At 34.5% G+C, this 26,350-nt stretch overlaps 1 protein-coding gene across 10 annotated transcripts in view; it reads right to left on the reverse strand.

The window, feature by feature from the left end:
- INTS6 (integrator complex subunit 6) overlaps positions 1-26,350 on the reverse strand; it is a 118,632-nt gene that overhangs the window by 90,667 nt on the left and 1,615 nt on the right. For 8 of the 10 annotated variants that reach the window (XR_007063673.1, XR_007063676.1, XR_007063675.1 and 5 more), the window contains 2 exons: positions 25,954-26,103; positions 5,223-5,312 (listed from right to left, as the gene is read on the reverse strand). Coding sequence is in view for 4 of the 10 variants with exons in the window: in XM_011535040.4 (XP_011533342.1) it covers positions 5,223-5,312; positions 25,954-26,103 (240 nt within the window). In the remaining 6 variants the exon portion in view is untranslated. Of the gene's footprint in view, positions 1-5,222; positions 5,313-11,352; positions 26,104-26,350 lie in introns of those variants that run through there. The other 2 variants (XM_047430264.1, NM_001039938.2) reach the window with 2 other exon arrangements.

A 26,350-nucleotide genomic window follows, 5' to 3' on the forward strand; every position in this document is an offset into this window, starting at 1 on the left:
GAAACTGATTTCAAAAATTTCTGGCCTGTCTTTTAATCATTAAGAATTAAATGCACATCATAATTATAATCTTCACCAGTTAAACTAAACCCATTTACAATGCCTAGAATTATCCATATCTCAAAGCATGGTGGACTTTTGCATCCATTTTTGAGAACCCACAAGTTGGAATAGAAGACCCCAATCTACAGCCATTTGAATACACAGCTGAGACTACTCATTCTCTTTCTATGAAGACATGCCCTTACCGAATATCTATCCCATGAAGTTACAAAAGTAGTTGTCCTAGTTGGGCTTAAAAAGCTGGGACAGCTAATAAGCAAGTAAAACTCTTCCCAACAGATTACTTTGGCTGCAAATACCTTCTCTCAACGTTAGCCTCCACAGCAATCATAACATTGGTAAAGAGATGCAGAAGGACTTGTCAGCATATAGAAATCTCAATATTTGAAAGACAATACTACTATTAGCACTTTCAAGGAAGAGAAAAATAACTGCTACACTATCCTGGAATGTCATTCATCACTAAGAAAGTACTGGCAGGATTTCTTCTGGGCTCCTCTATTGAGCAATATTCATTAGCCATGTGTTCCTGGAATCATAGTACAGAATAGTTTTCCATTGCAAAGCAGTACTAGAGAGGATTATCTGCAGATATCAGAAGAAAATCCTTTTCAATAACTCTAATTTGTTGATTCTACCAAAACATTTGATATATCAGTTATATAACATGACAAACAGTACTGAGTATCTGGACACAGGTATGTTTATCAACATCAACGGTAACTACTAAGGAAGTAAGTAATATAGTTTTATCGTGTTTCAGAATTCAAAGTCCTATCAAACACACTCCTCGTAAGTGAAAATGCTACAACCAGTTTTATCAAATAGCTGCATTAAAAAAAAAGCCAAATATATACACATAAAATTCAATCCAAGTAATCATCAGAAATCCTAGACAGTTATCCAAAAAGACTACACTAGAAATACATTCATGACACTTCAGACAATGGCCTGGACTTTTATTAAATGAGGCCCAAGGATATAATTGAAATCATAAATTAATGTAAAATGATCATATACAGCTCAAGATTTTCATTCATAATGTATCTATTACTTTTCTTTCCTAACTCATAACACATTGCTAAGTGACGAGCTGTCCCAGAGAACAGTATTCCTACATTTTTCTGACAAACAAGTTATAAGAAATTGGTTCATTTGGGCCTATACATACTTAGCCAGGTCAAGAGACAATATGGCACCACATTTTTCCTGCCGCTAGGAAAACTATTTTCTAGGCTCAAAACAACTTTACACTGGGCTTCTTCCTAAAATTCACAGATACAAGGTAGGAGCCACACCCTATGCCAAATCATCCATAAGATCCTTGAATTCAGTCATTCAAAAATGAAATTATACTATAAAAATGCACATTATACAAGATTTGACACACGAAAGGTAATATTAACCCTTCCCCTGCTTTAGTACTCCCACACACTTAGTATGTATCCTTATTTTATCATTCATAAAACCATTTAATAGGTGATTTCCCCCATAACACTGTGAACTTAAATATTAAGAACCAGATATGTCCTGTTTATCTTTGTTATCCTCATTGCCTAGAAATGCTCTGGTCATAATAGTTTTTCATGGAACACTGAATAAGAACAGAATACCTAAAAGACACTTACATAGAAAGCTGAAGTAGACAAATAAGAAATCAGATAAATAGAAGGTAAATTTTAAGAACACACAAATTTAGAATCAAGCAAAAAGGCAGCAGCCGTATCAGGAAGAAAGCACTGGTCTGGAGGTGCTGGAATGTCTTTGGAATTGATAAATTCTAATCTAGATTTTGGCAGTAACAAATGTTATAACCTAAGCAAATCACTCTGACTCCCTGGATCTCAATTTTCTCATTTGTAAAATATAAGACTAAATGAGTTCTATATTTCCTCATATGATATAAGGATGATTTTAAAGCAGCAAGAACATTTACTCCTGAAAAACAGCACCAACAGAACAGATATAATATACAATGTTGGATAACATGACTCTTAAGCAAAGGATATCATACAGGTGGAATTATACAACTCCATAAAAAGTAATAGGTCATACCAACACCAGCCACAAGCCAAACAGGAATTATGTACACATATCTCTAATGTGGAAATTAATGACACATTCATACACTGAATAAATCTAAAAAAGAATCAAGTTCTGCCAGAGGCAAAGGTTGAGAGATGTGAAAAGACAGTGATATAAAGGCAAAATTGTTATTCCCTAGTAGGAACCAGAATACAGATCATATCTAGCATTCATGCACGTGCACAATACAAACACAGAAGAACAATACAAAAAGCATCTTTATGCTTTTCTATGAATTGAAAAGCTCCTTAAAACAAATCCCATAATTATTTAGGCTAGAATATTTCACAATATCTCACAACATTTAGCAAAAATTAATCTAGGATAACTTTCTCATTGCTCCAACGAGAGTCTCGTTGGTACATTAAGAAGAAAACACGCAGGGAATCAAAGACATTCCTAACCTTGAAACAACTCACCGGCCTATGTTCCAACTTCAAAATAATTTACTTTTGCTTTAAAACAAATGAACCTTCCACCTCAGATAATAAGGTGCAACGGTAATCAATTTTGAACTCAATGACTACCAGATTCAATACACCAATGTTTATAATCAATACTTTTTAAAAATATAGGCTCTGTTGTCAATACTATGCTAGTATTGTAAAAGATAGAACTAAAAGGTAAAAACTCTGCCCACAGGAAAATCTTCCTAACCTTACTAGCAAGGTAGTTTCAGGTTATAAACACATTGCCCTATTTTTCCAAAATCCTTCCCAAGGAAAGACATAGGAAGAAAGGTGAGCAATTCCAATACACATGTATATTTCAAGATATTTTTAAGCTAGAAGAGGTCTCCACAAAACAAATTTTACAAACAAAACAGATCCAGACATATGGAAACAAAATACATTGTACCCCAAAGGGCATTTCTACAAAGGCAGTAGACAGCACCTCAAATGCATCACCTCGCACATAAGAATACTTTACAACAGAAAACAGAAATAACTTCTCAAGCAAAATCATTATGGATAAAAACAAAACAAACATTCAAAAGACTTTTAATTTATTAATATATAAAGTTGAATGAAGCTGTTAACTATTATGTGTCCTATTAAGAAGAAAAATTAATTTGAGAGCTTCAAATTTAAAATGACTTTTTTTTTCTTTTTTTTTTTTTTTTGAGACGGAGTCTTGCTCTGTTGCCCAGGCTGGAGTGCAGTGGCACGGTCTCAGCTCACTGCAACCTCCACCTCCTGGGTTCAAGTGATTCTCCTGCCTTAGCCTCCTGAGTAGCTGGGATTACAGGTGTGCGCCACCACGCCCAGCTAATTTTTTTGTATTTTTGGTAGAGACAGGGTTTCACCATGTTGGTCAGGCTGGTCTTGAACTCCTGATCTCATGTCTGCCCGCCTCAGCCTCCCAAAGTGCTGAGATTACAGGTGTGAACCACCACGCCCGGCTAAAATGAATTTTTATTGCTTGCTTTTTATATAATCCACGTCTACCTGTTTCTGAAAGTAGCAGGACCACAATTGGCTGTACATGTCAACTAATCTAACAAAGCCCAAAAGCCCATCAAGTTCAGCTACAGAGCATTCCAAGGCTACTGATTATATATAGACTATAAATTATTTAATCATGGATTATAATCTACCTAAATTTTTCAGCTCTATCTCCATGAATTATATCCTAAATTCCCTTTATTATCAACTGTTCAAATAAAACAATTTTAGCTCTTTTCCCCCAAATAAGAGCAGAGAATTATATCTCTTTAGTGGTTCCAATGCCTCATGAAAGAATAATACTATATACTTCTCTTTACAGCCTACTAAGTACCTTCATATACATTATTTCAAACTTCCAATAACCCTATGAAGTAAGGCAAATGTTATTCTCTTTATTTCATGGAGAAGGATAGAAATTAGGAAGTCAGGTCACTGGTACAAAGTTTACTGCTAGAAAGTAGATAAACAAAGACTAGGACCCACATGCCCTGACTCCATGTCCAATTTGTATTCCACAATGTCACACAAATAAAGTAATTCTAAAAGCTACTGAACTTAAAATGTATACTTTTCCTGCTTAATTAAACCCTTATAAATACCATGGGAATTAAGATACTAAAGCAAATGCAAACAATAAAGCTCCATCAAAACAATCACCTTTCTATATCAGCCCATGTTAAAGAGCAGTTCAAATACCATAGTAAAAACACCTTAAAATTAAAAAAATCTATTATATTCATTATACCACACCACACACAACTCTGCATAATGAATGTTGCTGTAGAATAGATAAGGTTAGCTATAAATTTTTTATACAGCTGGGTGCAGTGGCTCACACCTGTAATCCCAACACTTTGAGAGGCCAAGGCAGGTGGATCCTGAGGTCAGGAGTTCGAGACCAACCTGGCCAACATGGCAAGACACCATCTCTACTAAAATTACAAAAATTAGCCAGACATGGTGGCTCATGCCTGTAATCCCAGTTACTCGGGAGGCTGAGGCACAAGAATCGCTTGAACCCAGGAGGTGGAGGCTGCAGTGAGCCAAGATTGTGCCACTGCACTCTAGCCGGGGCAACAGAGTGAGACTCTGTCTCAAAAAAAAAAAAAAAAAAAAAAATATATATATATATATATATATATGTATAATACATTTGACTTAGAGAAAACAAAAATGTCGAAAAACCTTACTTTTCCTAGTCTTAACACCTCTTCTTGGCTTTGCTATACTCTAGCCAAGGAGTTTCCACAGTCGCTGGACTGCCAACGACAATCCACTGAAATATAGGAAGAAATTACTAGAACGCTGTTTCCCTTTTTTAAATCTGAAAAAAACTAAGGAATTCATTTTACTATTTATGACAGACTGAAACTGTCACCCTCACATAAACTCATAATTACACATACAAATGAGGTGTGGGTATGCTCAAACATTTCTCACAGAAGAGATTCTTATTCAAGAAAATAAGAACACTGCTACAAACAAAGATGGGCCATAGGAGACAGATGACTCTAAATTGCATCAAATAATCAACGAGAGAACCTATTAAAGGTGTTCAGTATCCTACAAAAATAAAGGATTGTTCAACTGCATTTGCATAATCCATGTAATATAAGCACAACTTACCTCATCCTGGACTCCACTGGTGGTAGTCAACTTGCTCCCATCAGTAATTGTGATAATTATTGCTGGCTCCAAGAAAAAAGGGTTTCTTCCCTAAAGTCAAAAAACACATTGATCATACAAAGATTTAGACTTTGGCTTACAAAGTAAAAAGTCAATTCTCAGAACAGCATATATACGATCTCCCTTTCTAGTTTCATTTTACATGTAGTATGTACCTGTTTGTACATTTTAAGAAAAGATATAGAACGACACATAAACTAAACAGTGATTAACCCTGAGAAAGAGGGATTAGGTAGAGAAAGAGGTGGATTTTTCACTTCTTTATAAATTTGTGTATTGCTTTCATTTTTAGAGGGAGTATATTTATGTTACTAAGAGTATTTAATTTCTTAAAAGGGACCCTAGTAGTTCAATTCTAATAATTTGATTTTTGTAGATATTACAAGTTACAATAAAAAAAGAACATTTCCTGAGAAACTTTCTTAAAAAGGAAGGCAAGACAGTAGGTGAACATTACCACAAGGTATGCATGTAATCGAAATGTCTAAGCAAATAACTAGGTAAATGATTTGAAAGATTTTAAGAGCTATTTCTATGGAAATAGTAGAGCTACTCTAAATTCAGCAAAAATTTAACAACAGTACAAGATGAAAAGTTAAAATTAAAAATGGTTACCTAAAGAAAATGCTTGGAGAGAAAAGTACAAAAATAGTGGTAGCAAAAGCAATGGAACAGAGTAGCACGGGTTCTCAAATGCTCTATATAGAAGGTGAGATAACTTCAATAGCTTCCATTCAAATCTCTGGCCAACCCACTCTACTAGCACAACGATGAGTTCTAGGCGACACATCTGTAAGGGACTAAGACAAACATAAGCTTGCCTTTTACATATAAATGGCTCCCATTTGAAGGACTGACAGAACTAAGACCAAAGGATATAAATTTCAAGAGGGTAAACCTTGTATTTGAAATCAAAGGTATCAAATTCTCTGCCACTAATGGTACCAAGAATTGAATGAAGCTTTCTTGGATAAAATGTAGAACTGTGTATGACAATTTCTTAATGTGCATATGAGCCACTTGGAGATCTTAAAATGCAATTTCTGATTATGTCTGGGATGAAGACTAAGATTCTTCATTTCTAACAAGACTGGCAGCTAGAAGACACTAATAGCCACAGACCATACTTAGAACAACAAGAATGTAGAAGAGTTATAAACATATAATATTCTATGGTCCTATAACCTTTCTCTTACAACTCTCAATTCCTAACATATTATAATATATACGCAATATTTATTGAATGAATTCACAGTTAGTTATATGATTATAACCTAATCATCGTAAAGTGGGAAGGGGGACATGTAATAGATCGTCTTGATCAAATCATTCAACTTGTAAGTGACACGTGCACTTTTCTAATTGGTGCCCAAGAAAAAAATGGTTCCGGGGGAGAAAGATTCCTTTGGTTAAATAAACTTAAAATATGTTAGATATAATCTCTAGAAGATTCTAAATGCATAGCAGCATTAAAATGTCACAGGAGTCTTGCAGGGAGAAAACATGAATTAATTTATCCCTCCTTTTCCTCTGTAATATTCATGTTAAAAAGAACTCATTTTGGGGAATTATTACATTACATTATATTGTCTCTCATACCATTCACCCCCAAAATATATAATAAATTCTAATAATATAGGTCTTCTCAGGCAATGTTCATTCCCAACTCTTAGCTTTGATTGTTTCCCTAAAGTAGAATGCTTTTCCTCTTCCCTCCTCAAACCTACCCAACTGCCACTCATTCCTTAAGGCCCAGTTTAAATCTCTGCATTTTCCACGAAGCCTTCCCTGATTACTATGGCCTTTAGTAATCACATCTTTCCATCTCCATATTCTAATAGTGGTAGTTTTTACACTTTAAATTAAATAAATAAGGTAAATAAAATGTTTCTTTAAAATTGGATTTGAGTGGTTCCATGGAGCACAATTTGAATACCACTTCCCTACAACATCTATCCTCCCACCTTTTCAAATAATTTTTAATTTAAATATGAATTTAAATACACACCATCTTACACAATGTGAATATATCTAACACTGCAGAAGTATACACTTAAAAATGGTTAAGACAGTAAATTTTGTTGTGTTTACCACAATTTATTAAAAAAAAAAAAACACCATCTTGTATTGCTTGCTATTTTTTCATGTGTTTGAACATGTTGAAGGCAAAGAATATGTCATATTTCTTTCCACACCACTAAGCAGGTACTGGGCACAAAACACTTCAACTTATTCATTGACTCACTGAATATAGCTTAATACAAATCAGCCTGGGTTCACAGAACCATTTAGAATTACTCAAACTTCAAAAAGATTCAAAAAATGTATGTTACCTTTACCTCAATATAAATGTGTACTCCCCAAATTCAACGCATAACAACTCATGAATTTGCTGGGCTACTAGAGTATAAAAAGGAGCACTATCTCCCTCTTGTGTCTTTCAGCCATCCACTATCTACTCATTCGTGTTGGCCATTCAAAGATTTGAGTGGTTACTATTAAGTGTATGATATATAATCTCTACTCTCATACATAATAAACATATGTACACATAACAATAAATCTCTCTCTTGGTCTCTACCAGTATTTTAGCTCAAAAATTGCCTAAGGGAGATAAAGAAAACCAAGAGGTCCTAATAGCTTCGAAACTATATTATCTTGCTTCCACCCTTAAGCTAAACTACTTTTGTTGACTTGGTGCCTTTCAAAAAAAAATCAGCAAAGCTCTAAAAGCCACCACAGCATGGACCAAATATTTGTAGTAGGGTCTTCTATATCACTTCTACATTTTAACATAAAACAAAATCAGGCTGGGAGTGGTGGCTCATGCCTGTAATCCCAGCACTCTGGGAGGCCAAGGTACGCGGATCACTTGATGTCAGGACTGCGAGACCAGTCTAGGAAACACTGTGAAAAACCTCGTCTCCATGAAAAAATACAAAAATTAGCCAAGTGTGGTGGCACATGCCTGTAGTGCCCAGCTACTCGGGAGGCCGAAGCAGGAGAATCCCTTGAACCCAGAAGGTGGAGGTTGCAGTGAGTCAAGATCGTGCCACTGCACTCCAGCCTGGGCGACAGAGTGAGACTCCGTCTCAAAAAAAGAAATCAGATTTTCTGACCAAAAGTCTGACACCCATTCACTTTTATTCCTGTATAAGCACACTTAGAATTATCTTTCAGAGGCAAGAGATTAATCATACTTCTAATTAAAGAAAAATAATCTACCATGTAGCAGACTCATATAGATGATGACATCCACCCGAAAGGTAATACTTTTTAAAGGCCCATGTCTACAAAATTAAGTTAAAATATATTAAAACTTAACAGAAAGTCTGAGTTATTAAATTTAATTAAGCTAAATTCAAACACTAAAACCAAAGTTACTTTTTCTTAGACAACAAAACAAAGCTTTTAGTTGAAACTTGACTAGTCTTACACAAAATACTCTCCACAGAGGATACCCTTAAACGGGCCTGAAATTACTATAATAACAATAACATTACTGCTATCGTCTTGATAATAACAATAAAGCACTTATCTCATTTGACCCTAAAAAAACTTAGTGAGGTAAAATATTCAGGGAGATTAAATGATATAACTCAAGGTGGCCTAGATGGTGGCAAAGCCAGAACCTTATTAAGCTATTCTAATTCTAAAATCCACATGGTCTTTCTGTACCACCTGGAGGTCCTATTGGCAGCTGCTAAATTCTCTTGGACATAATTCCATACTAACCTGGATTGTGCCATATTTACCCAACAAGGAATGGCATTATAATCAGATTGTTTTGTTTTTAATATATCCTTTCTGCAATAAAATTAACTATAGTAAAACTATTCCTTTACTTGGTAGATTCCTGTGATTCTGTAATTACTTAGCCATTAATTTCTTGATGTATAAAATCAGTGTATCTTCCCCCAACACACACTGAAACAAAACACAATATATACTAATGTTTACTTTTAAAAACAATATAACTTCAACTTTCAGAGAGTATATACACAAACACAAGATAAAATAATAAGTTCTTTAGTGACTTTAAATTTTGGAAAAGTCAGATAAAGATCAAACATAGAAAAGAAAAAAGAAAAATATTATTATCATCCTCATTGTACCAATTATCCCGCCATGCCTAAGATTCTTTCCCCTCTAAGATTAAAGAGCTTAGTCAAGAATCACACTAAGAAAAGCAATAATCAGTTACTACAAAAATTAGAATAATGATTAAGTTAATGTAATTTATACACACAAGGTTGTTTTATTATTTCTTCAGGAAAAATGTGCCCCCATCTCTATTATATAAATGTTTGACATTAACAAATTTATTTAAGCATGAATTTCTACATCACTAGCAGAAAGTGAACATGTAGCTCCAAGAAAGTTTTCTTATATACTGTTTTGCACTGTTTTGTTGCTGCATAATGTCATCTTTCTCTGTCAACATTGTTTACCCAGCAAATTAAAAAAGTTTTAGTTGTCTGCCAGTATTGTTTTTTGTCATGTTTTACAAAAAAATAAAGTTTTAACACCTCCAAAGTCTAAATGAGAGTTACAACTTAATTACTGCAATATAATGTTATTCACTATCTGGTGTCAAGCCTACGCAATTTAATAATTCCCAAATCCTTATATTTAAGAGCAATTATTTTACATTGTTATTCCTAAGTAAGTATGTTTATAAAGTCACTCAGTTGGGAGACAATCCTTTAGAAGTTCTGTCAATATTCACCTTGGCCATAAAGTTATAAGTAGCCTTTATCATAATTATAATGATATATTTAAAACAAAAAAAAAATCTAAGCTCTGCTACAACAAAGACAGCCAGTAGAGGGACTAAAAGTTTACTTTTGCTATTAGCAGAATAAATTCACGTTTTACTCTCAGAGCAGTGGTTCCTGTCATAAAGAAATCCAAACATATCACTAGAAAATATAATGCAAAATATAATGTTCTAGCTCTAGAGCTACTTACTAACAGGAGTCAATCTGTCATTAAAAATTTTTCATTTTAATTTTGGTCAAAAACCTCAAGTAAGAGTTCTGCCACAAGATAATATAAAGCAAAACCTTTTACTTCACTTAAAATTTCCTATTATAGTTCTCTCAACAACCAATTACCATGGTGTTAAATTACTCAGTTAAAGCATAAAATCTCAATAATAAGAAAATTTAAAGAATTAATGTAAACAGATATTATCTATTATAACCTATGTTATTTTTGAAAGAAAATGCTTTTGCAATGTTACAACAAATTTTGAAAAAAAATTTTGAAAATACTAAGAAAAGGTAATTTCCTCCAAATATAAACTAACCTGATCTCAGGAAAACAATTATTTTCACTTACCTAAGAAACTGAAAATGTAGTGGAGGAGGGGCATAGGAATGCTACCTTACCCTTAAACGGGTCATAAAATCTTCTGATGTGCTAATCATGTTTGTCAAGTCAATAATTCATTGTCATTAATACTGTTAATTTTTTTAAAGGTGGAGGAGGTTCATTAAATTATAGGGATAAATACACAAACTGGGTAATAACATATTACAAACAAAACAGAATTACTTAAGTCAATAAAGGCCTAACATGCTTATATTTAAATCAATATTCCAAGGCCAGAATTACAAATTTCACATTTGTTTTAGATTTCAGTAAGATTATTATTTTTATTGTTAAAATCTCAGGTAGTGTAGTATAAATGAGTCTTTTGATGTCAAACTCTAAAATATTCATCTTAAGACATTAACCCTTGTAAAACCTTTGACCACATAAAAAAGATCTCTGAAGGATACGTTAGAAACTGATTAGCCATGGTTGCCTCCATAGAAAGGAAGTAAACAATTGGGTAACTTTTTATAATACTTCAACTTTTTTTTAACCATGTGCATTTATTATATGTTCAAAACAAATACTCTTCAAAATTAAAAATGTGTTTGGTATTCTAAAATAAAATCTGCTAGAATATAAAAATCTGGTAACAGAATACATTAAGGTCTACAGCTACAGAAAACATGTTAGAATTCCACAGTATAAGAAATATATTTTTAGTTTCAAGTAACTCCGTTACACGACTGTGTTCCGATACAATTCCTTTATTCAACCACGTAATTCCTTATGTTAAAAATACAACAGCATTAAAAACAGATGGAATACTATGACTTAAGCAAAAGTAGGGGGGAGTTCCATATATCTGTTTTAATGTAACGACTAAGGAACTCCATCCTGGAATTTGATTTAATAATAGACTGAAGAGTAATAATGTAAGAAATCGTAAGTCACCATAAGAACTGCAGAATCACTAAAGTTTGACTTTGTAAAAAAAAATAATAATAACATTAGGGAAATTCAATAATTGATAAGACTAAGTATAACTACAAAAGACGATAATATAAACTCAATATATCTGAAATATTAATAATTTGGCAGAATTTGAGTTTTATACTTGAACTGGAATCTAAAGTTTGAATGAAATTAACAAACTGGTCTGGGGAATGCCTAAAAAGTAGTGCCAGGCAAATAGTGTTTATGCTGTCATATAAGGAGTAATTAAGCTATCAGAAATATAACTTTACTTAATAAATAGTAATATTCTAAGAATCTAATACATACATTAGATGGACTGGGGCCAGGCACGGTGGCTCACACTTGTAATCCTAGCACTTTGGGAGACCGAGGTGGGAGGACTGCCTGAGGCTAAGATTTCAGGATAAACTGGGTAATAATAACTTGGGAAAATTTTATTCTAGTGAAGCATGTAATAAAAAACATGTTAGAAATATGTTTTTTAAAAATAAACGTATAAATAAAAACCAAGATGTAAACATATTTTCAAAGATAGGTGAATGGAGTTATACAGCAATAATGGTAAAATTTAATTTGACCTAAAAGAAATCTGTCTAGTCTCTCAAGATTAATCACCTCCTTGAGTAGACTGCTACAAAATCTACAGATGCTACCTTTGTAAAAGTCTGGTTAAATCCCATCTTGAACTCAGCACTGAACTCAATTTTAAATACTATCACAAGCAGACCTTGAATGTAGGGCAAAGAAGCAGATAAAACCATTCTGGTTACTTCCTTCTACACATCACACTACAAATATGGTCTCAAAAAAAAAAAATCAATTCACACACACAACTGTCCTACAAAAGAAGATGGCATTCTATGACAGCCTTCTATATAAATATCTTAAAGGCTACAACTGAAAATGAAGAACTGCCTAATAAATGTTTCAGATCAGGAAAGTTAGCAATAAAGCATTAAATTTTAAAAAGGGAAAAAAAATTCATGAAAAGCACTTGGAAAACTCTAACAGTATATTGTTTCCCATATGCTATGGCTGAAGGCCAATCTGAAAATAATTGGGTAAGGCATAATGTGAGGCCGGGCGTGATGGCTCACACCTGTAATCCAACACTTTGGGAGGCTGAGGCAGAAGGATCACTTGAGGTCAGGAGTTCCAGACCAGCCTGGCCAACATGTTGAAACACTGTCTCTACTAAAAATACAAAAATTAGTCAGGTGTGGTGGCACTTGCCTGTAATCCCAGCTACTGGGAAGGCTGAGGCACAAGAATTGTTTGAACCTGGGAGGCAGAGATTACAGTAAGCCAAGATCATGCCACTGCCCTCTAGCCTGGGCGATAGAGCAAGACTGTGTCTCAAAAACAATAATAATTAAAAAAAAGACATAATGTGAGATTAGTTTTAAGGGGCCCTGGTTCGTAAAAAATGTGGATTTTTTTGTTTTCAAGGAAAGAAATGGTACTAACCCAACATTGCTAAGATTTTTTAGGAGGAAACAAATTTCTCTAAATCCATTACACAGTACATGTACAGGAGTAAAAGTTTCTAAGAATCCTTTCTTGCTAGATTCTGATTGAAACATTTATTGATGCTTGTGCTAAACACCTTCCCAAGTGTTTATAGATTTAAAATTTTCAAAGTAGATAACATTTTCCAGAAACAAAAAAAATCTAACTACATAATACTTGTGCCTATCATTAAAAAAAAAAAAGTTTTATAAGCCTTCCTAACTATACATACAAATAAACCAATAGTTTTACCTTAGAAATGCACTTCATGAAGAAGCAGATGTCACATACGGATGACTGCACAGATTGCTACATGTTTTAGAATGTTACTAAAGCTCATTAAAATGGAAACTTTAAGAACATGGCAAGATAATCCTTTGTTACATTAAGATTTACATTCACTATAATCTCATTTGTGATTAGACACTGCCCATTCTGAATTAAAAATAAAATTTAAAATAAAGACCTTCTATTCTTTCTACTACCTATTTAGGCCTGATCTTGTGGATGCAATCTCTTGGTTTTCCTTTCTAACTTATTGGTTTAAGAAATGTGATTACACAAAATTCAAAATTTTACATTCATTATTTCATTACCTGCCAAAGTATATAAATAAGCAAGATAGTTCACAACTCAGAAATTACCAGAGGACACCAAGACATCATTTTGCTAATTCCTGATAATCCAAAAGCACTGTACCTTGTCATTGTCTTGCAACATCACCCACTGTCACTTGCAGCCTGACCTTTCACACTGCATATTCAATTATCTTCAATTCCTTATTTAAAATAGTTTTCAATTATTTCAGAATAATTCTGTTATTAGATATTTCCAGTGTTGAAACCCCAGAATAACCAAAAGACTGTTGTTGTTTCCTAGTACCTAACAAGGTTCACTCGCTTTAAGACAAAGGGAAAGTTTTACTCTGACACACCAGCATCAACTCTGTCATTTCCTAGCTACAAACTGCATCACCTAATAGTATACAATTACTTTTTCTCACATATTCAGAACTGTTATCATGTCCCTAATAAAGTTTTATAGAAAATATAATCCTTCCAAGGACCTTCACTAGGAGTCCCACACCTCATTTGGGCAAAAACTAATAGAAGGAAGATGTCAACATGTCACAGATAAAACAGGCAATAAAAAACAGGTTATATGAAAGCTAGAATAATTTTTGATAGGACTAATCACTAGACTGACATAAATTTGTCCTTTGGTTACAACTAATCCTCTTAACTGTAAGGTTTTTTAAGTTATAGTACTTTTCATGTACAATTCTCTCTCTCCATATACCAATAATCAATTTCCAATTATATATGCCCTTCAAAAAAAAATCTTCATATAAAAAAATTCTTCCTAGGCCTATCCTATTATGTCTTTTCCTACACAAATCTACACGACAAATAAAAGGAATTATATATTTTACACTTGACTTTTCTTCTGGAGGAGAGCACCTCCCCTAAACCCCCATCCCAACCATCACCAACGTGAATTCTAAAATATACAAAGTCCTAGAAATAAACTCTAAATTTTCTCAAAGAAGTTTAAAACCTTTCTTGCTTTGAAAATTACTTTAGCCAGAAAAAACTGGATAGCTACTTATGGCTTCTCATGATGGATGTACAGTAAGACATCACATAATGTTTTGGCCAATGACAGACCACCATATACATGACAGTGGTCCTGTAGGATTATAATACAGCTGAAAAATTCCTATCACCTCCTGACATCTTAATGATCCTGACCCTGTGTGCGCCTAGAAAAATGAGTGTAAGTCTTAGTTTTTAACAAAGGCCAGTGCAGTGGCTAACGTCTGTAATCCCAGCACTTTGGGAGGCCGAGGCGGGCGGATCATGAGGTCAGGAGATCAGGAGGTCAGGAGAGCATGATGGCTAAGACGGTGAAACCCCGTCTCTACTAAAAATACAAAAAAACCACCAAAATTAGCCAGGTGTGGTGGCAGTAGTCCCAGATACTCAGGAGGCTGAGGCGGGAGAATGGCGTGAACCCAGGAGGCAGAGCTTGCAGTAAGCAGAGATCGAGCCACTGCACTCCAGCCTGGGTGACATAGCAAGACTCCATCTCAAAAAAAAAAAAAGTTTTTAAAAAAATAACAATTTTAAAAATAGAAAAAAGCTTACAGAATAAGGATATAAATATTTTATACAGCTATGTTTGTATCTTAAATCTTACTAAAAAGAGTTAAAAAGTTTTAAAACTTTAGAAGTTTATAAAGTTACAGTAAGCTAAGGTTAATTTATTATTGGAGAAAATTTTTTAATAAATTTAGTGTAGCCTAAGTGTACAGTTTATAAAGTCTACAGCAGTGTACTGTCCCAGGCCTTCACTTCACTCATCACGAACTCACTCACCCACCCAGAGCAACTGCCAGTCCTCAAGCTACATTCATGGTAAGTGCCCTATCTAGGTATACCATTTTTTATCTTTCATACCATATTTCTACTGTATTTGTCAATGTTTATATCTGTTTAGACACATGAATGCTTGTAAGTGTTAAAACTGCCTAGAGCAATCAGTACAGTTACATGCTATACAGGTAGATGTATAGCCTAGGAGCAATGGGTCATATACCATATAGCCTAGGGGTATAGTCATCTATCCCATCTAGGTTTCTGTAGGTATACTCTATGATGTTCCCACAACAGATCTGCCTAATGGTGCAGTTCTCAGAACCTATCTCCATTGTTAAGCGATACATAACTGTATGATAGGTTATGGAACAACCTTAATTCTGTTTTTGTCAAAGGTTTCAGACTAAAAAGCTTTTATCCTGTTAAGTGTTTACCGTAATACTGGAGATGATGATCATCATCATAAATGAGCCCCTACCATATGCCAGGCAGGCACTTTTGCTAGATGATTAACAAATATTACTTCTAATCCTCACAAAATTTAAGCATTGGTATAATCACAATTCTATGGATGAGAAACTTGATGCTCAGAGAGATTAAGGGACTTTTCAATACAATATAAGCTAGTGAGTGACAGAACCAGGCACAGCCAGTTCTAATACAGCAGTTCTTTCCATACCACCATGCTGCTTGTTCTGAAAAAAGCAAGATTAAAAAAACCTCTAGTACCCCATAATTTCAATTTTTAAAATTCAAATAAGAGAAAATACATAAAAATGATTAATAGGTTGTGTTACAATAATAAATTATGTTGTACATTCCTTAATCTTTATCACAGTTCTGCAAGATAGGTCTTTTCATTCTATTTGTCTAATGGGGAAAGTGAGGCTGAGAGGTTATACGACTTGTCAGGTCACGAGTGGAATGGAAATTCATAAGTGGATCTGGTCTTATTTTTCTGAATCTTAAGATATAATGCTTAGAAATTTTCAAAACTACCTTAAGTTAAATGAAAATATGGTAGTTAACTCATCAACTCTCCAGGAAAAAAGTTATAAATGTAACCCTAATACTGGTTGGCATACTACATTGGAAAAATTGACTAATGAACAAGGTTAATAGCTCTATATTAACTAGCTACACATCAGAAACTTAAAGTATGAAGCACAAAACCAAAAAGTGCCATTAAATACTTATGTATGTTATTAGAATCTAGGCCTTAAAGTAATTACAGTATAAAATCCTGTCAACTATCCCATACGTCCCCAGGCCTCCCCACCTCCAGCCTTTTTTTTTTTTTTGAGACAGATTCCCACTCTGTCACCCAGGCTGGAGTGCAGTCGCACAATCTTGGCTCACAGCAACCTCCACCTCCTAGGTTCAAGTGACTCTCCTGCCTCAGCCACCTGAGTAGCTGGGATTGCAGGCGTGCACCACCATGCCTGGCTAATATTTGTGTTTTTGGCAGAGATGGAGTTTTACCAGGTTGGCCAGGCTGGTCTTGAACTCCTGGCCTCTAGTGATCCTCCCTCTTCAACCTCCCAAAGTGCTGGGATTACAGGTGTGAGCCACAGGGACAGCCTCTCCTATGTTTTTGACCATGATTTTTTTTTTTTTTTGAGATGAAGTTTCGTTCTTGTCGCCCAGGCTGGAGTGCAATGGCGCAATCTCAGCTCACTGCAACCTTTGCCTCCTGGGTTCAAGCGATTTTCCTGCCTCAGCTTCCTGAGGGTGCCTGTAGCTGGGATTACAGGCGCCCGCCACCATGCCCAGCTAATTTTTGTATTTTTAGTTTCACCATGTTGGCCAGGCTGGTCTCGAACATCTGACCTCAGGTGATCCACCCACCTCAGCCTCCCAAAGTGCTGGGATTACTAGGCATGAACCATCGCATCTGGCCATTGATCATGATCTTCACTCTGCATTGCCCCCTAACCTGCAAGGGTTCTGGGTTCTCAGTAAACTTTTATTCTTCAGATGCTACTACCTCTAAGAAGTCTTTCCTGGTTTATCCCCTAGATCGGGGTCCCCAACCCCTGGACCCCATCAGGAATGGGTGGCACAGCAGAAGGTGAGCAGTGGGCAAGTGAGCATTACCGTTGGGGCTCCGCCTCCTGTTAGATCAGCAGCAGCATTAGATTCTCATAGGAGCACAAACCCTGTTGTGAACTGTGCATGCAAGGGGTCTAGGTTATGCGCTCCTATGAGACTCTAACGCCTGATGACCTGAGGTGGAAAAGTTTCATCTGAAACCATCCCAACCACCTCTACCAATCCATGGAAAAACTGTCTTCCACAAAACCAGCCTGGTGCCAAAGAGGCTGGGGACCGCTGCCCTAAATTCATTTACTTTCTGCCAAACAAAGGGAGGAAGGAATCCAACTAAAGCTAATTTTGTAACAAACAGTATTTAGATAGAATGTTACAAGAAAGACTAAATGTAACAGAGACAAAATGAAAAGCTTAGCTTTCAAACAAGAACTGAAAGAAATCATACTGCATTACAGAACTATACACAAAACTGAAGAAAGCAACTCAGATCCACTGCTTATACATTTAAATAAAATGTTATTAAATAATATACAAATCCTTAATAAAATCTCCATAACTGTTCTATCACCAATTACAATTTTTAAAAATATTTCATAAATGTGAAGAAATTAAGCCTCTGAACCTTTCTATGCCTTTTCTTCACCTACAAAATGAGGAAAATTGAGTAAACTTCTAAAATCACTTCCATTCTAAAGCCCTATGAAAATAATAATAAAACACAGAAAGTTTAATGAAAACTTGTCAGTAGATGCAAATGTTCAATTTTTTTAAGAGTGTATATTTTAAAATTCACTAAGCTTCACACTTCAGATTTGTTTATTTAAGTTACATCTCAATAAAAATGTTAGAGATCAGAAAATACAAACCAAAACAAAATTTTTTAAAAATTTAGTATTTTGTTTAAAGTCTGGCAACCATGGTAAACTTTTATAGACTAATAGTAAGACTAAACAAAAATAAAGTTTATATAAGGAAATTACTTTTTTAAGCTGAGTACAATGGCAAGAGCCTGCAGTCCCAGCTACTCCGAAGGCGTGGTGGAAAGACTGCTTGAGCCCAGGAGTTCAAGACCAGCCTGGGTAACACAGAGAGACTTTGTATCTAAACATTTTTAAAATTAAAAAGCCCCAAAAAACAAGAAAAGTCCACCAAGACTAATTTAATTGTAGAGTATAAATCTGAGTCAAGGTTATTATGGCCAAAAATCATTTTATATATTTGAGAAACATTTCAAGCTATAAAATACTATATAATCTCTTTGTAGAAATCTATGACATGAACATGACTAAATAAACAATCCTTTTAACTAATTTTGACCACAAATGACCTTAATTCAAAATACACAAATAAGTCCAATGATGTCAAATATTAGATTTGTTCCTGATCTTTTAATTTCCAGCTGTATATAATACATAATTATCGATATTCTCCTATATCGAAAGAAAGTAAAATGCTCTTTAAAGTAGAATATATTATTTGGTTTTTTGTTTGTTTTTGTTTTGTTTTGTTTTTTTGAGACAGCCTATTGCCCAAGTTGGAGTGCAGTGGCACCATCTCAGCTCACTGCAACCTCCACCTCCGGGGTTCAAGCAATCCTCCAACCAGGACTCCAGGAGTCCTGAGTAGCTAGGACTACAGGCACATGCCACCACCCCCCAGCTAATTTTTTTTTTTTTTTTTTTTTTTTTTTTTTTTAGTAGAGATGGGGTTTCACCACATTGTCTAGGCTGGTCTCAAACTCCTGACCTCAAGTGATCCACCTGCTTTAGCCTCCCAAAGTGTTGGGATTACAGGTGTGAGCCATGGCACCCGGCCTATTTTTGACTTTTGTATTTAAGATTTGTTTTGAACAATTTCTAATTAAGAATGCAATAATGGCCAGGGGCGGTGGCTCACGCCTGTAAATCCCAGCACTTTGGGAGGCCGAGGTGGGCGGATCACCTGAGGTCAGGAGTTTCAGACCAGCCTGGCCAACATGGCGAAACCCCGTCTCTACCAAAAATACAAAAATTAGCCGAGGGTGGTGGCGGGAGCCTGTAATCCCAGCTACTCAGGAGGCTGAAGCAGGAGAATGGCTTGAACCCGGGAGGCAGAGGTTGCAGTGAGCCAAGATCACGCCATTGCACTCCAGCCTGGGCAACAAGAGTGAAACTCTATCCCAAAAAAAAAAAGAATGCAATAACATCCTTAGGATAGTGTTTTTCATTTTTCTTTTTTTTTTTTTTTTCAGATCATGACTGGAGAATTTTTTCTTTTAGAAAACAGTTTTAGAGTATAAAATTCTGAAGAAATATTTTGCAAATGTTTTAAAAGAAAATAAAATCTGGGTTTGGGGATATTCCTTCTCATTTAAATTATACCACCATTAAATTAATGCTCTATAGGAAATAAATCATATCCATTTTGTACTACTTTGAGCTCAGTTAAATCTTATTAAACTATCCCTTGATTTACCCAACATATGTGCTCCTAAAAGGTTCCCTGCAAATCAAACTTGTGTAAATCTCATCTAAAACGCACTAGGGGGAGCTCCCTATTTGAAAGAATCCTAAGGCATGTGCTTTTTTCACATAAGTATTCTTGCAAAAGAATGACTTTCTGACTTATCTGCTAAATTATTTAAATTGTTTTAACACTTCTTTAAAAACATCATCCTATGCTTATTAAATGCCACTGAGACAACTTTGGCCAAGTTATATTAATTTTCTTTCACACCTGCTTTTCTGGGATACAATACAAAGCCCAAAGAAAAACATATACTTCGTGATACTAATAGATGTTTAAAGCATGTAATAATCAGCTTTGAAGATTTTTATAATTTTAATTTCAAAATTAAAGCTGAAAAAAATAGAAAACTAGAGGTAAACATACTAATCTTTTGGAGGAAAAGGATGCTTTTGTCTAGTGAGACATCCTAATAAGGTACATTTTAAATATATCATCCCATTTAAACCTCTCAACAATTCTATATTAAAGGTACAATGGCTTCATTATTGCCAACTTGGAATAAGAAGTAGCAGAGGCTCAAAATAGTAATGTGAATGCTCAATGTTACATAATAATTCAATGGCGAGGCCAAGATTGGGATTCCAATTCTCACATTTCTAGCCACTGCTCTTCTTTTACACAATAAAGATGGGGAAAAAACATTTAAGCAAGTTTGACAGGAGAGTGCCCTCTCCACCAACAAAAATTATTGAGGCTCAAAAGTTCAGGGATTTGCAGAGACCATTCAAATGGGAAAGGGCAAGTCTCTTCAACATGGTGGTGGAAAAACTGGATATCCACATGCAAAAGAATGAAGTTGGACCCTTACCTTATACCATATACAAAAATTAATTCAAAATAGATTAAAGATCTAAACAGAAGATCTAAAGCTATAAAACTCTTAAAACACAGGAGAAAAGCTTCAGTGACATTGGATTTAGCAATGATTTTGTGGATGACACCAAAGGCACAGGCAATAAAAGTAAAAATATGTAACTGGACCATACAAAAATAAAAATTTTGTGCACTGAAGAAACAACAGAGTATAAAAGCAAACTACATAATGGGAGAAAATATTTGCAAATCATTTATCTGATAAGGGATTAATATCCAGAAAATATAAAGAAATCCTAAAGCTCAACAACAAAAAACAATTTTAAAACGGGCAAAGGACTTGAATGAACATTTCTCGAAAGACAGTGTACAAATGGCCAACAAGCGTATGTTGATGCTTAACATAAATAATTATTAGGAAAATGTAAATAAAAACCACAATGAGATACGACCTCACACCCAATAGGATGGCTAATGTCAAAGTAAAACAGAAAATTGTGTTAGTGAAGATATAAAGAAAGTGTAACCCTCGTGCACTGTTGGTAGGAACGTAAAATGGTACAACTGCTATGAAAAACAGTATGGTACTTCCTCAAAAAATTTAAAATGGAATTACAATATGATCCTGTCATTTCATTTCAGGGTATATATCCAAAAGAACTGGAAGCAGGATCTCAAAAAGTTACTTACACAACCATGTTCATTGCAGCATTATTCACAACAGCCAAGAAGTGGAAGCAACCCAAGTGACTATCAATGGATATGTGGATAAGCAAAATGTGGTACATACAATAGAGTATTATTCAGCCTTAAAAAGGATGAAAAAATCCTGACATGCTAAAATATAAATGAATGTTGAGAACATTATGCTAAGTGAAATGAGCCCATCTAAAAAGGCAAATACTGTATGATTTCACTTAACTGTGATATCCAGAGTAGACAAATTCATAAAAACAGAAAGTAGAATAGAGGTTTCCAGGGACTGGGAGTTACTTGATATAGAGTTTCAATTTTGCAAGATAAAAAAGTTCTGGATATTGGTTGCACAGCAATATGAATATACTTAACACTACTGAACTGCACACTTAAAGATGGTTAAGATGGTAAATTTTGTTAGGTGTTTCTTACCACAATTTAAAAAAAAATTTTAATTAAAGGAATTAAAAAATTTACAAAATACTATTCATCATTGTGTTTCCAGTTTATATTCAACACAGCAGTATTTCAGGTATAGTAATTAACTTACTTTCATTTGAAAAGATGTCTATAGCTTAATAAATATCAAACTCTTATTCATACATTTGTTGATAATCTAAGAGAAACCAAGCACCCAAATGGAAATGGAGTTCTCACTACTTCACCTGCCAGCCTTCAAAAAGAAGCCTGTATTTCACACTACCTATTAAATGGGTACTATTTAGGTAAAGGGAAAAAAAAGTAGTATTAGAACTATAACTGTATTATCTCCTAAGTTTACAAAATAGACCTTTATGCTCAAAAATAAAATTGGTTAAAATTCTTTTCCCTGAGAATCATTAAATTTGATATTGTACGAAAGCCACCATTTTTCAATGAGGTAAACATTCACCATAGAAAATCCTCAAAAAATTAAGCACATATTTTATCTCCTTTTAAGATATCTGTCAAGGATTGTCTTCACCAAGGGCACATAGTAGGAAAGGTGCCATTCTAACTCCTGGAACAATTTAATCAGTACTAACATACTTCAGGTAGCAGGGGTGTGGAATCAGGTCAGTAACAAAAACGGACTTGCAGGCCAGAGTAAAGATATATTGGCTAATCTTAACTAACATAATTTACTGAAAAAAAAAAAAAAAAAAAAAAAAGACAATGTTGAAAATATCGGGCCGGGTGCTGTGGCTCACGCCTGTAATCCTAGCACTTTGGGAGGCCAAGGTGGGCAGATCACCTGAGTTCAGGAGTTCGAGACCAGCCTGACCAACATAGAGAAACCCAGTCTCTACTAAAAATACAAAATTAACCAGGCATGGTGGCTCAAGCCTGTAATCCCAGCTGCTCAGGAGGCTGAAGCATGAGAATGGCTTGAACCCAGGAGGAGGAGGCTGCGGTGAGCCGAGATCGCGCCACTGCACTCCAGCCTCGGCAACAAGAGAGAAACTCTGTCTCAAAAAAAATATACATATATATTGATGGAAAACAGGATGACCTGTAACAATAAGAAAATTAACTCATCTACATATAAAACTTTAATCAGACCTCTCACATTTTATACATTTCCTAATTTTAGATATTAAGGCTGCTTCAGACTTTCAGCAGGTCTCAAAGGATCAGCATTATTTGAAACTCTGTTGAACACACGTGAAAAACTTATGTATCAAATTTATCTGCAATGATATGCAACTTAAAGTACTGCTATAAAGGAAAAGATTGACTAAAGGCTATACATTGCTCCATTACTGTAGAAATATCAGTAAATGGTACTGATTATCAAAATTAAATATTTATAACAATGTCTGTAGGCATGGAATTTTTTAGTGGGATACCCAAAGTGCTTGAGGAAAACATTCACTAAGAACCATTCTTTTTTCTCAGTTACTTAACCTTACTAATGCCCTGCAAATTCTGATAGCATCCTAGCTAATAATTCAAAGATGTTTTATCTGTAGGTATGTTAACTAAGTTAACAAATGCAATATAGATTTAATAGTCTTGTAATTAGTTATGAAAAATCATATATGTGCATATATGTGGGAGAATGGTGGATATCTACATAAATATACAAATATATATATTAACCCAGACATTTAAGAAAGTAATTCAGAACATTAAAGTTTTTAGATGTTCTATAAAATATATACGTTCTATCTTCCACCTAATCTTTTCTCATTTCCTTCAACTACTAACGTTACATACAAGTATTTAGTACTGTGAACACCACAGATCCTAGTATAGAGCAGGAAAGGGGAAATACTTATGTAAAGACATTGAAGTTACAAAATAAAAGTATTCCACAGCAAACAGGCAGATACAAAGTACTTTTACAAAGAAGAAAACACATGAACAATATTCAGTATTAAATATTTGAGACATCCAAAATTCCTAATCATTTATCCTTGTTGTGAATAGAAAACATGAAATGTTTAAATCAGATAGTTTTATGATGAAAAAAATCTTCTGGAAGAATGTTTTCTTCCAATTCAATACTCTTTACTCAAATTATCATTTTCATTTGAAAACAGTGGCTTATTTTAATGCTAGTGTCATTTTTAATGTGCCAATTCAAGACATAAGCATTAATATTATGCTTTGCAATCTTTGCTGATTCATCAGAATAAGTGAGAAGCATCATCCCTCTCTGTTATTGAATTAATAAATCCTGACATGCAAAAACATCCCAATCTCCAGGTTCTTCTCTTGGTCAAAGTGGTAACAGCACAGGACCACCTTTCCCGCAAACTTTTGGTAAGCCTTATAGACAAGAACTAAAGTGTTCTCTGGGGGCAGATATCAACTGGGAAAAGGAAAATACAGGTTTAAATTACAAATGTCCTCAGCCTCTCCATGACAAGCAGTTTTTCGAAGGAAGCAATCTTTAAGAAGTATTTTTAATAGGTAATAGGAGGTGAATATGTCCAAATGCCTTGACCACTTATGAAATGTGATGCAGAAAAAGAGGAAACTAATAGTTCTGCCATACACTAACAACATGACAACCAAATAAAGGTAACCAAATAATGGCAAGTTTTAAATATCTCTTTGAACTCAAAGAGGTAAGGATGAAAACCTTAAGCAGTAAGACTGTGTTGCACTACATATCACAAAGGAATATAAAAGAGAAGGAAATCCACTACTATTTTACAGAAACAAACCAAAAAGTTCATTGCAAATCTACCTAAATTATTAAAAGTTGCAAAATAAAAGCAGCAGAGATGGGAAAAACATAAAAGTATTAATGTGGTAAGAAAGTACATATTTACCTAACTAAACGTTGGAAGTTCAATTTGGTAAGCTCACTCTGAATTTCAGTGTACATTTTAAATGTTATAGAACTAAATTCAGTTATTTCCAAAGACACTTAAGCACTGAAGTTATCCCTAAGAAGCTTAAAATTTCCTAAAACAGAAACAAGTCAATTTCCTTCAATAGGAAGCAAATAAAAGTTGTAGTCACAGAAAGAATTTCCCTGAAATGTACGAAACTCACAAAACTAGGGACTGTGGGACTTGGGAAAATACAACATATACCCAATATATAATTAGGAATAGTGCTTTTCACTACAACATAAGAACTGAGCTCCTTGGAAATAATATTCCTTTGTTACATGTAACATTATACATTGTTCAGTATCTTTTATTTCCAGGGCAATAATATCATAAAATGTTACAATAGACCACCTTGCATTATTCCTTAGTGAATTATTGTTGATTTAAAGCTCCTCTCATCCTCAAATACATGAAAGTAAGTGCAATAAAAGGACTTGTGGGGGTTAAGAAACGAAGGGTTCTTTCATATTTTCCAGCAGTCTTTTTTTCCAAGGGTTTGGAGTTTAAATCAAAACTCTGGGCCTGAAATTTAATTCAGAGTTCTTCCTGCAATAGTTGTTAACTGTGTATGCTTCAAAAGAAAACTTAAATGTTCTCAGCCAGTGACTGTACTCCAGTGAAAAACTTCTTACCTTTCAGAATAGTTATACAACATGGTCACATTAAACCCTGATGCAACAAACAGATTAATTTCCTCTAACATCTTTACTAATATAGAAACGAAGAACACGAACTAGTGTCTCTAAGCCACTATAATAGTTGCACATACAACATGAGTGTGGTGTGGTAGGATGCTTTTCCTTTTAGGTCTTTACTGAACTTTCAAGGGATTAAAACCAATGTATGTCAACTTTATAGCAAAAGTTTCAGATTCTAATCCTGAATACCAATGCATTTTAGAGGGGGAAAAAATGAGGGATGTAAAATATATATAGTAGGGTAAGAGTTTTGCCTTTGAACAATGTGCATATTCTATTTTAATTTGGAATGTTTTATACTTGCATTTCATGTTATGTAGTTTTTGGACTGGACTGTGTTTTTCCACAAAATGAAAAATCAACTATTTTGCCACCTTATTATTCAACCTACCTGCCCATAGTTGTCTATGCCAGTTACTAATCTATTTAAATTTAATAAATCAAAAGCTGTCCTTAGGGATTGGCCAAGAGTCGTAAGTCCTTCAGCCTGAAGGTTTTTCAATTCATTCATAAACGTTGCATGGTTTTCTTTCCATCCAGCCTGAAAAGAAAAATGTAAGATTTTTTTTTTTCATTTTTTAAAGCCATGTACACAGAGCCGTTATAATCTGACGTTCACCAAGTAGCAGCTTCACTTTTGGTTGGTTTGGCTTGGTTAACGTGTTAATACTGTACCGCTGCTGAGGAAACTCTCTTCCAAAGGTGGCCCAGGAATAACCCAGCTTCCTCTCTAGGTTTTGGTAGTTAACTGCCTTAATACTTTATAACTTCACTGACAAATTTACTAC

The sequence above is a fragment of the Homo sapiens genome, chromosome 13 (genome assembly GCF_000001405.40).
Source record: "Homo sapiens chromosome 13, GRCh38.p14 Primary Assembly".
NCBI classification, from domain to species: Eukaryota; Metazoa; Chordata; class Mammalia; order Primates; family Hominidae; genus Homo; species Homo sapiens.